Raw genomic sequence first — 12,741 nt, forward strand, 5'->3', positions numbered from 1 at the left:
GAATCTACACTATTGGTTCTCTGGACTTCCTAGGTCTCTAGCTTGCAAATGGCAGATTGTGGGACTTCTCAGTCACCATAATTTCATGAGCCGATATCTTCTTTTTTTTTTTTGAGACAGAGTCTCACTCTGTTCGCCCAGGCTGGAGTGCAGCGGTGTGACCTTGGTTCACTGCAACCTCCGCCTTCTGGGTTCAAGTGATTCTCCAGCCTCAGCCTCCTGAGTAGCTGGGATTACAGGCTTGCTCCACCACGCCTGGGTAATTTTTGTATTTTTAGTAGACACAGGGTTTCACCATGTTGGCCAGGCTAGTCTTGAACTCCTGACCTCAAGTGATCTGCTGCCTCGGCCTCCCAAAGTGCTGGGATTACAGGCATGAGCCAGCGCGCCTGGCTGATACGTTTTCTTTCTTTTCTTTTTTTTTTTTTTTTTTTTGAGATGGAGTCTCGCTCTGTCGCTTAGGCTGGAGTGCAGTGGCCGGATCTCAGCTCACTGCAACCTCCGCCTCCTGGAGTCAAGCAATTCTCCTGCCTCAGCCTCCCGAGTAGCTGGGATTACAGGTGCCTGCCACCATGCCCGGCTAATTTTTGTATTTTTAGTAGAGACAGGGTGTCACCATACATATCGGCCAGGCTAGTCTCAAACTCCTGACCTCAGGTGATCTGCCCGCCTTGGCCTCCCAAAGTGCTGGGATTACAGGCATGAGCCACCGTGCCCAACCTGATATGTTTTCAAATGGGGAAAATTAAATTGCAGAACTATAAGTTTTTATTCATATAAAAAAATATGCATGGCCTGTAATGTAATCCTAGGACTTCGGGGGCCTGAGGCGGGTGGATCACCTGAAGTCAGAAGTTCAAGACCAGCCTGGCCAACATGGTGAAACCCTGTCTCTACTAAAAATACAAAAATTAGCCGGGCATGGTGGCGGGCACCTGTAATCCCAGCTACTTGAACCCAGAAGGCAGAGGTTGCAGTGAGCCGAGATCGTGCTACTGCACTTCAGCCTAGGCAACACAGCCAGACACCGTCTCAAAAAAAATATATATATATATAAATATATATATAAAATATATATTATATATATTTTTATATATTTTTATATATATAATTAAATATATTTTAATTATTTAATTATTTAAATTATATATAAATATATAATTATATATATAATTAAATATATATAAATATATATTATATATATGCATGGAAACACAGAGATGCTAAACAGTCTGGAAAGAAAATTATTGGTAGTTACCTTTGAGAATTTGGACCAGAGGGGTGGAACCACACTGTTGGAATCTTTTAGATAAGCATATAGTACTTTATAATTATGAGAAACTACAAAAAATAGTCATACATCCCTCAGCAGGCCACAGGCCATCATGCCTTGGGTCGTCTAACCTCCCCATCCTACCCTGTCCCCATCCTCCCTCAGTGGGCTGCAGCCCCTCTAGTCTCTTTTCTGCTCTTACAATGTGCCAATGCCTTCTTCACCGTGAGACTCTGTACTTCCTATTCCTTTTTTTTTTTTTTCTGAGACAGAGTCTCGCTCTGTCACCCAGGCTGGAGTGCAGTGGCGCAATCTCAGCTCACTGCAACCTCCACCTCTGGGGTTCAAGCGATTCTCATGCCTCAGCCTCCCAAGTAGCTGGGATTACAGGCGTTTGCCACCATGCCCAGCTAATTTTCGTTTTTTTCGTAGAGACGGGGTTTCACCATGTTGGCCAGGCTGGTCCTGACCTCCTGACCTCAAGTGATCCTCCTTCCTCGGCCTCCCAAAGTGCTGGGATTACAGGCATCAGCCACCATGCCTATTGCTCAGCCAGGATGGAGAACCTAAGGAGATGTGAGATGCCCAGTTGTTTTGTGCTTTCTTTAAAATGTGGAGTCCTTTAGGCCTGTGCTCTCGGCTCTGGGCAACAAGTCCCGCTGATGCTTGACTGTACAGCTGCTATTAGGTTGGTGCAAGAATAATTGCAGTTTTTGCCATTAAAAATAATGACATTAAATGCAATTACTTTTGCCCCAACCTAAATTTATTTACTGGACAATTGTCTTCCCCACTAGCATGTAACCTGCATGAAATAATAGGACACATTGACATCATGGTACCTCCTGATGTGATGTGTCTGCCTGGCTTAACTCCTAGTACAGTGCCTGGCACAAAGTGAGCACCAGATAAATATCAGTTGAACGAATGAATGAATGAATGAATGAATGAATGAATGAATGGAGCTGTGAGGTTTAAATGAGTCAATAAACAAAGTTCCTGGTGCAGAGTAGGAGCACATCAAATTGGTGATCTAAGCTGCCCTTGTAAAGAAGCAGCTTGAGCTATCACTGTTTGGCTGGCTCAGCACAGGCCTCTGTTCCATGCACAACTGCAGTTTCATTTGGCTTCAAAACTGGAAGGCAATCAGGGCTGTAATCAGTTTAAAGGTCGAGGAAAGTGCAGCATGCCTATTTCTTTCTGTTGGTCTGTATTCTTTGGATTTGATTTGCAGTTGGTTGATTGACTGATTGGGCTCGCTTCGGAGCAGGGAGAATAGACTGGAGTTCATGCTTTTATCCAGCCTGCAGCAGAGGGGCTGGAGGGGCTGGTGGAAGCAGTTCCATTTCCACCATCTGCTGCTGGCTTCCCGTGCCACCTTCCAAGGGCTCCAGAAGGAGTGAGCCGTGCTTTCCAAACAAGAAACACCTCTTCAGTAAATACCCCAGTGTGAACCCATGGATAGGTTCCCATATACGCTGAGACCGTGAAATGGCCTTTGGGCAAACAAGCCAATTCTGAAGTCTGTCCCCAGGTCTGTGATCAGTTAAGAAGGAAGTCAGGACAGCAGAAAGGACAGGTAAAGGACCGGGCTTTGGAGTTGGCCAGACCTGCCTTTGGAATCCTAACTACCACTTCTATCCATGTGACCCTGATCTACTGAACTTCATGAAGCTTTAGTTTTCCCTTGTGCAAAATGGGACTAGTAATAATAGTGTCTATCTCGTACAAGTGTTATTACAAGATTATAAGAGATGATGATCTTTAGAACAAGTCCTGGCACATAGTTCCCATAAATGTTAGTTATTGTCATGATAGTATTATTAAAATATTTGTGTTGATTTCTTCCAATAGACTCCAAGCTCCATGGGCTTTCATGTAGGACCGTGTTTGTCTTATTCATCATGAGCCTGGCACAGAGCAGATGGTCTGAACATATTTAGGGGATGAAGCTCTGGGCTTCATTTTACATATGAAGAAATGAAGTTCCAGCAAGATTGAATGACTTGCCCAAGGTCACACAGCAGAGGAGAGCCTGGGGCTGGGCCCAGGACTTCCCTTTCTCTGTCCAGTGTTCTAACATATCCTGGAGGACAGATGCAGAGAGCTAAGACATTCTCTTAGATTCTGCTCTCAGACCCAGCTTCTCAGGAATCTTCTGGAACATGACATATGACCTGTTCAGTTTCCTCTCTGGGCTTCAGGGTTCTTGCTGTTTATGTTTTCATGGACTGAAGCCTCCAGCTAGGGGCTGAATTACGAGAAGCAGAGTACAACCTGCTGCACACCAGGTGAAGCAGAACTTCTTGTTCCCTTTAACTGTCGCCGAGTTGAATCACTTTGTTAAGCTCATGCGCTAGAGTTACTTCCTATTTTAAACCTTATGAATCTGGGTAGTGTGGGGGGTTACAAAATAAATCTCCCCAGCCAAGGTGACACCTCAATTAGACCTCAAAGGCTTGCAGTGAAGCAGTTTGAAAATGGATGTTAAGCACATGCTAGTTCTCCTTTAGACTTGCAATAAAAAATAGTGGAGTGATTGCAAATGAAAATGGTTTTTCAACTTCATTAAAAAAAAAAAAAGCTCATCTATGTACAAATCCAGGAGACAGGCATATCTTTTTAAGTTGTTGCCATTTTATCCACATTGTGCTCCGGCATTTACAGTACAAAGAGATTTTACCAAGTTCATAGCTTAGAGCAACCTTGGGCAGTCAGGAGGTCTGAGGGAGAGTCACATCAGCTGTCGGGGTGGAATTGTGGTCATATATAGCCTGTCTCACATTACAGTGAGTCAGAGACTGACTGTCCCAAACAGTATTTTCTTCTAGGATGGAAGCGGTGTGAAGTTATCTTCAAGTCTCTATCCATCAGGACAGATGCAGGAATTATTTTAAAACGTGTATGGTAAGAATTTCAGCCAATGTAGTTTAAAATAAGATGCCCAAGTCATTTTTGAGATGTAGTAAAAAATATCGTGTCTCGATTAATAGCATATTTTTAGCCTCACATAGTCAGTAATTGTTTTCAAATGTGCTTTGTAATTGAATATCCATATTTTATTTAGAAATCTAGTATGAGCAGGGAGAAAGAAACCATAGAAATTGTTCCCATAACATCAGATTACATTACCTATGTGTGTGTATATATATATGCACACACATATATATACATCATATATATCATCAGATAAATTTATCATGTATGTGTTTGTGTGTATATTCTTTATATATGCACAAATAATCTCTAAATAACTATCACTTCTTAACGTTTTGAAGAAAAGGCAGAGACTTGGAGAGATTGATCTGTCAAAGGAAATGAATTGTCTACTTTTTGTTTGCTTAACTGTTTTATTTCCTACTTCATTCCAAGAGTGGTTTTTAGTAGTTACGGAAATACACACAATATGATATTTTTAGGTAAAGGTGGTAATTAAGGAATAATTAAGATTAGGGAAAAAAATAAAGCCACTCAGTTCTGTAAGTAAAATACTTAACTTCAAGGCCTAGGCTGACAAATACAAATTATATATATTCAAGGTGTGCAACATGATGATTTAATATTCGTATACTGTATTAGTCCATTTTCACACTGCTATAAAGAATACCTGAGACTGGGTAATTTATAAAGAAAAGAGGTTTAATTGACTTACAGTTCTGCATGGCTGGGAGGTCTCAGGAAACTTAAAATCATGGCGGAAGGCAAAAGGGAAGCAAGGCACGTCTTATATGGCGGCAGGAGAGAGAGAGAGTGAGGGGGGAACTGTCAAACATAAACCATCAGATCTCATGAGAACTCACTCACTATCATAAGAACAGTATGGGGGAAACCTCCCCCATGATCCAGTCACCTCCCACCAGATCCCTCCTTCCACACATGGGGATTACAATTCAAGATGAAATTTGGGTGGGGACACAGAGCCAAGCCGTATCATACATACTGTGTAATGATTACTATGATCAAATTAATGAACACATCTATCACCCTTAGTTACGATTTGTGTGTGTGTATGTGTGTGGTGAGGACACTTAAAATCTGCTCTCTTACCAATTTTTAAATAAACAATTCAGTATTATTAACTGTAGTTACCATACTTTACATTAGATCCCCAGAACTTATTCATCTTATAACTGAAAGTTTGTACCCTTTGACCAACATAGAAGTTTCTTAGGAAAACCTGCCAAAGTAAGATGGAAATAGAATCTATTACATAAATTCACAGTGTCCATAAGAAAAAAGACAAAGGGCCATTTGTTCGGGAAATACTCAGCGCTTCCCTAATACATTATGCAATGTGAATCATGGCCTCAAAAATGTTCCTATAGTGAATAGAAATATGGCTCTGAGCTTCCAGGAAGCCACAACAATAAAGGAAATACGATTATTAATGATTTATTGTGTCCTCAAGATTAAGTGAGTTTCTTGGAAGCACACCTTCCTGGAGCTGAGACTTGATTTTTCTTTCATAAAGAGGACACTATAACATACTGAACACCATTTTATTCCCAAATATAGTAAGTTTCTTAGAGCAGTGTTTCCTTCTAGAGGGAAAACATGAAAGCCCAGAGTAGAGGGTGGAGACCAGAGAAAGTTCTTTTCCCTAATTTTAATTTAGACCACAATGACAAATCCTAGCGATTAGGATTTCCCTGTGGTTTAAAGGCTATTCTTAAGATGAACACCTCATCTTACCGCCCCACCTGCTTGTGACCTTAGGATTTGCTGGAGGCTGTGGTCACAGCTGTAATCCCAGTGCTTTGGGAGGCCAAGGTGGGAGAATTGCTTGAGCCTAGGAGTTCGAGACCAGCCTGGGCAACACAATGAGACCCCGTCTCTACAAAAAATAAAATTAGCCAGGCGTGCTAGCACACTCCTGTAGTCCCAGCTACTCAGGAAGCTGAGGTGGGAGGATTGCTTGAGCCTAGGAACCCGAGGCTGCACTGAGCGGTGACTGCACCACTGCACACCAGCCTGGGTAATGAGCAAGACCTCATCTCAGAATAAATAAATACATAAGATATGCTGGAACTTAGTTCTTTCCTTCCTAGCCCATGTAATTGGGTGCATTGCCGAGAGCAAAGAAGGATGTCTGCAACTAAGGAGTAGCTACGAGCGATGGAGCTTATGCCATGTGCCAGACACTACACTAAGCACCTTATGTTTCCACGTAGTCCTCACACATGGTATCTCAGAGAGGTGAGATCATCTCCATCGTACAGATGAGGAAACCGGGGCTGGGAGGATACATGGCTTGCACAAGTCCACGCAGCCAGTCAGGCCAGAGACCAGGGATTTGAACCCGGATCTACCTGATGCCAAAGAGGCTAGAGCCATCCCAGGCCATGCTGTTCTGTAACCCAAGTGCCCAATAGGCCACAGTGGTCCAGTGCAAAGCTTCTCAGCATGGTAACTAAGGACCCACAGGCTGGACAGCAGGCAGTGTCTGGCTATGCCTCCCAGCCTGCACCCTGACACTGGAGTGACCACAGACCACTAGTATAGGGGAGGCTTGGCAGTAGAGGAGGCTGAGAGCCCCATTCAAAGGCTGCAGGATCTACATGAGTGTTTTGGGGAGATATTTTCACTAAAGCAAGAAACCAGGGTTAAGTGAATAAGGATAAGAATATTCTTTTCTCCCTCTTTCCAAATCCTCTGTCCATCTACATTTGAGGAGCAGAGAAAGGTTTGGCCACCAGAGAGGGAACCTGGGTACCAGGAACACTCTAGCCTGTGGCTCAGGAAGTGAGTTCTACCATTAGTTGAGAACCTTTGTGACCAACAGTCTATCATCTAACAAAAAAGGTCAAGTTTTAGTGATGTATTTTCCAAAGACAATCACTGTTGAGTATATCAGCCCATAGTTTTCCCATTCATCTATCAACATACAAATATAAGCCAGGTGCGGTGGCTCATGCCTATAGCTCCAGCACTTTGGGAGGCCGAGGCAGGCGGATCACTTGAGGCCGGGAGTTTGAGATCAGCCTGGCCAACATGGTGAAACCCCGTCTCTACTAAAAATACAAAAAAATTAGCCAGGCATGGTGGCACATGCTTGTAGTCCCAGCTACTTGGAAGGCTGAGGCATGAGAATTGTGTGAACCAGGAGGTGGAGGTTGCAGTGAGGTGGAGGTTGCAGTGAGCCGAGATCACACTACTGCACTCTAGCCTGGGTGACAGAGCAAGACTCTGTCTCAAAAAAATAAAAAACGTAAATATATATATTTATAAACATGTAACCATATTATATATGCTGTACTGTAACTGGCTTGTTTTTTCTTCACTTGGCAATATATCATTGCCATCTGCTTCATGCCAGCACACACAGATCTATCCCATTATTTTTAGTGGCTCCATAAAAATGATAGCGCTGTACCATACTTTTGTAAAACCAATTCCTATGAATGGATAGTTGGCTTGTATTATGAACAATGCTCCATAAACATTGTTGTAACTATATTCTAGCTTGCTTGTAGAAGTATTTCTTTTTCTTTTCTTTTCTTTTTTTTTTTTTTTGAGACAGAGTCTTGCTCTGTCGCCCAGACTGAAGTGCAGTGGCACAGTCTTGGGTCACTGCAACATCCACCTCCCGGGTTCAAGTGATTCTCCTGCCTCAGCCTCTTGAGTAGCTGGGATTATAGGCGAGTGCCACCACACCCAGTTAATTTTTGTATTTTTAGTAGAGACGGGGTTTCACCATGTTGGCTAGGCTGGTCTCGAACTCCTGACCTCAGGTGATCCACCTGCCTCGGCCTCTTAAAGTGCTGGAATTACAGGCGTGAGCCATCATGCCCAGCCTTGTAGAAGTACCTCTATAGGATTAATTCCTAGAAGTGGAATTGCTGGGTCAAAGGACACCCACATATTAAATTTAGACAGTGATCACCATACTGTCATCCAAAAATGTTATATTAATTTATACTTAATGCTACCAACCCACTGTGGGACTTTTGATGGATGATGTCATCTTTGTGCTACATTTTCTCTACTTGTAAAATGAGAATTCTTATGCCTTAGTAATAATTCTAAATGAGGTCATTGTTTTGATAGGACCATGGCTCCTTCAGAAGAAATATATCTGTAAATCTAAGGTGTCATTTTCATTTTCATTTTTTTCTTTCATAGTTCCTCAAAACTTAGTTCCTTCTCCATTTTAACCTGAAAAATAAATAATTTGATTAAGAGACATCTAGTGACTTCATGCCTTGGCACTGCCTTCACCAATTCTATTTTTAGGACTCACCAGTGTCTGGGGATGTTTGGATGACATCAACTTTTACACATATCTTTTCATTTAAAATTTGCAAAAGTCTGCACAGCTATGACATGACAGAAGCCTCCCACTGCAATGCCTGAAGATCCCTACTGTTCTGAGATTAAAAAATAAAAGATGATTTCCTTTCTTAATGATTTGCCCTAAAAGTTCAAGATCCTGTATTGAAGTTTATGCGAATGACCACTTCCAACTTCATGAGCTTCATCTCTGATGTGATCTCGGCTCACTGCAACCTCCGCCTCCCGGGTTCAAGTGATTCTCCTGCCTCAGCCTCCCGAGTAGCTGGGACTACAGGCGCACGCCACCACGCCTGGCTAATTTTTGTATTTTTAGTAGAGATGGGGTTTCACCATGTTGGCCAGGATGCTCTTGATCTCTTGACTTTGTGATCCGCCCGCCCTGGCCTCCCAAAGTGCTGAGATTACAGGCGTTAGCCACCGTGCCTGGCTGATGCGGAATGCTTTTGAAGGATATAGATAAATCTACAAACCCCTAGACGGCTCATGACCAGATTGGGCTAAGTTTCCCATTTCTCACTGTGCAACCTCGAGCAGGTTGCTTAACCTCTCTGTGACTCAGTTTGTCTGGCAATACAATGGCAATACTAATACTAGTAACCAAGCCATAGAGTTTTTGTGAGGATTAAATGAACTGGAATAGTGCCTGGCCCATAATAAGTGATCAATAAATGATAATTATTATTAATTAAGCAAAGCATTCAACATATCATTAATACATATTGTTAAGAATATTGGCAGCCAGGTGCAGTCACTCATGCCTGTAATACCAACACTTTGGGAGGCCAAGATGGGAGGATCACTCGAGAGCCCAGGAGTTCGAGACCAGCCCGGGCAACACAGAGAGACTATCTCTACAAAAAATATGAAAACTAGCTGGGTATGGTGGTCTGTGCATGTGGTCCCAGCTACTTGGGAGGCTGAGGCAGGAGGATCTCTTGGTCTTGGGAGGTCGAGGCTTCAGAAAGCCATGATCACGCTGCTGTACTCCAGCATGGGCAACAGAATAAGACCCTGTCTCAAAAAAATAAAAATAAAAAGATTGGCTTTGGAGGGTCTGACAGAACCGAGCTCCTGCCTTTTACCATCAGGATGGTTCCTGGGCAAGTTGTTAATCCTCTCCAGGCTGTTTTCTCCTCTGTTGTGTGGGGACAATTAGGATCTGTCACAAAGGGCTACTGTGAGGATTAAGTAAAACAGCCGTGTATGGAATTAAATAGATCTCTGGCACAAAGTGAATGGTCAGTAACTGGTGGCTGGTTTTAGTAATATTTTTTAAAGCTGTCAGCAAAAATAAAGTTTTTATTCCAGGTAATTTATGTACAGCAGTGGTTCTCAATGCTGGCTGCAGATTAGAATCTCCTGGGGGAAATTTATAAGCTGTGTCAGGCTAGAGGCCAGAAAAAGTGATTACATGGGTTTATTCTTGGTAGAGAATGTGTTGTAACCACATCAGCAAAGCCCTAATACTATGGATTAGCTACAAGATCCCAGTAATAGCTTTGGATTCAAAATCTTCCTTTGCGAGGCTCTTCTCACTAATGCAGTTTCATTTGGTCTAAAATTCAGGGGATCTGAGTTCCTGTTCGACTGTGCAATTTACCAGCTACATGGACCTTGTTTTCTGCTTTGAAAAATTGAATGGTTGAATCAGGAAATCTCTATAACAGCAAAACAGAATATCCCATAGGTGTTTGCTGTAGAATATCCTGCCTCCCAGGCAAGAGGCCTGCTGTCTGGGCGAATCTAAACCTTGAAAACCTGTTGATGCCGTTTTGGTGGCTGTTGCCGGGTTTGGGAGTTTGGTCTCAACGTTGAAGGCAAGAACAATAGATGGTGAATGTTCTGCCCACTACTGGGCTTTTGTTGGGGAAAGCGAGGTGGGATCACTGGGGGAGGCAGAGAGTAAATCCGGAAGTTTAGAGGGTGAGGCAGAGAAGAGGGAGGCATGAATTCGGTATTTGGCAATTTGGGAAAGTTTGGAGGAAAAGAGTAGGGAGGTTTAAAGGAGATTTTTGTGAAGTTTGATCACATGTTTGAGAAGGTAGGAAGCACATATTCTGGAAGGAGGCTCCTCCTGTCACTACATTTGAACCTGTCACACCCAGAATGACTCTTTCTGAATGCAAGTTGGAGCTAACCGGGAGGGCAATGGGAAATTCTGTCTGCCTTGTCAAGCTGGGGCCCGGCCTACAGGACAGCATTGCCTACCTGTGGCTGCCAAACGTTGCGTGTCTGCAAAGATCCGCAATCCTCATAGCAGCTCTGATTTAGAGTGCCAACTACACGCCAGGCACTTTGCATATATTATTTCTAATCTTCACAGCAAACAGAATGAGTAGAAATTATTATTGCCCAGCCGGGCACAGTGGTTCATGCCTGTAATCCCAGCTCTTTGGGAGGCCGAGGTGGGCAGATCATTTGAGGTTAGGAGTTCGAGACCAGCCTGGCCAACATGGTGAAACCCTGTCTCTACTAAAAATACAATAATTAGCCAGGCATGATGGCAGGTGCCTGTAATCCCAGCTACTCGGGAGGCTGGGACTGCAGAATTGCTCGAACCTAGGAGGCAGAGGTTGCAGTGAGGCAAGATCACGCCACTGCACTCCAGCCTGGGCCACAGAGTGAGACTCCATAGCAAAAAAAAAAAAAAAAAAAAAAAAGGAAGCTATTATTGCCTCTATCTTTCAGGGGAGGAAACTGTGTCTCAGAGGTTAAATCATTCACCTTTGGTCACACAGCTTTGAAGTGGCAGAACTGAGAAAATTTATTTATTTATTTATTTATTTATTTATTTTGGAGATAGGGTCTCACTCTGTCACCCAGGATGGAGTGCAATGGCATGATCTTGGCTCACTGCAACCTCCACCTCCAGGGTTCAAGGGTTCCTCCTGCCTCAGCCTCCCGAGTAGCTGGGATTACAGGCGCACGCCATCACACCCTGCTAATTTTTGTATTTTTAATAGCAATGAGGTTTTACTATGTTGGCCAGGCTGGTCTCGAACTCCTGACCACAAGTGATCCACCCTCCTCGGCTTCCCAAAGTGCTGGGATTACAGGTGTGAGCCACCACACCCGGCCAGTCACCCAGGATTTTAATGATTTATTTTGTTTATTGTCTATGTGACTGCACTAGAATGTAAGTTCTCTGACAGCAGGGACCTTTCTTTCCTATTTTGTTCATTGCTCTGTCCTCAGCATCTAGAACAGTGCCCAGCACATGGTAGACAGTCAAGGAATACTTGTTGGTTGAATGAATGGATCTGTGTTACATAACCTCCTTCCCAGATCAGCCAGCTTGCCAAACGCTCTATGGGCAAGTAAACAGAACTGAGGCTGGACACAGTGGCTCACACCTGTAATCCCAGCACTTTGGGAGGCCAAGTTGGGAGGATCACTTGAAAAGTTCGAGACTAGCCTGGGCAGTGTTAAGAGACCCTGTATCCACTAAAAAAATAAAAAATAAATAACTGGGTAGCGTGGTGCATGCCTGTAGACCCAGCTGCTCAGGAGGCTGAAGCAGGAGGACCTCTTAAAGCTCAGGAGGTTGAGGCTGCCGTGAGCTATGGTTGTGCCACTGCACTCCAGCCTGGGAGACAGAGCAAGACCCTGTCTCCAAAAAAAGAAAAATAAAGCAAACAGAACTGTTTCCAAAAAAAAAAAAAATTAAGGGAAGATATATGCTTACATATAATATATAAATGGATAAAGACCGCCTGTAATCTCAGGACTTTGGGAGGCCAAGGCTGGTGGATCACCTGAGATCAGGAGTTCAAGACCAGCCTGGGCAACATGGTGAAACCCTGTCTCTACTAAAAATACAAAAATTAGCTAGGTGTGGTGGCAGGCACCTGTAATCTCAGCTACTTAGAAGGCTGAAGCAGGAGAATCGCTTAAACCCGGGAGGTGGAGGTTGCAGTGAGCCAAGATCGCACCATTGCACTCCAGCCTGGGCGACAGAGCGAGACTCCGTTTCAAAAAATAATAATAAAGAAAGAAAGACAAAAAGTCCATTAAAATATAATCCCCAGATGCTAATAGTGATTATCTCTGGGTGGTTGTAATGCAGGCGATTGATGAGTTGATTGATTTTTGCCTTTTTTTCTAAAACAGAAATGCAAGTGATTATTTTTCTTTTTCGATTATCCATAATTTCTAAAAATAATAAAAAGGAGTGT

The 12,741-nt window shown here is 43.3% G+C and overlaps 1 protein-coding gene across 8 annotated transcripts in view; it reads left to right on the top strand.

The window, feature by feature from the left end:
- IQCK (IQ motif containing K) overlaps positions 1-12,741 on the top strand; it is a 140,197-nt gene that overhangs the window by 109,546 nt on the left and 17,910 nt on the right. The window lies entirely within an intron of this gene.

Source organism: Homo sapiens, chromosome 16 (assembly GCF_000001405.40).
Source record: "Homo sapiens chromosome 16, GRCh38.p14 Primary Assembly".
NCBI classification, from domain to species: Eukaryota; Metazoa; Chordata; class Mammalia; order Primates; family Hominidae; genus Homo; species Homo sapiens.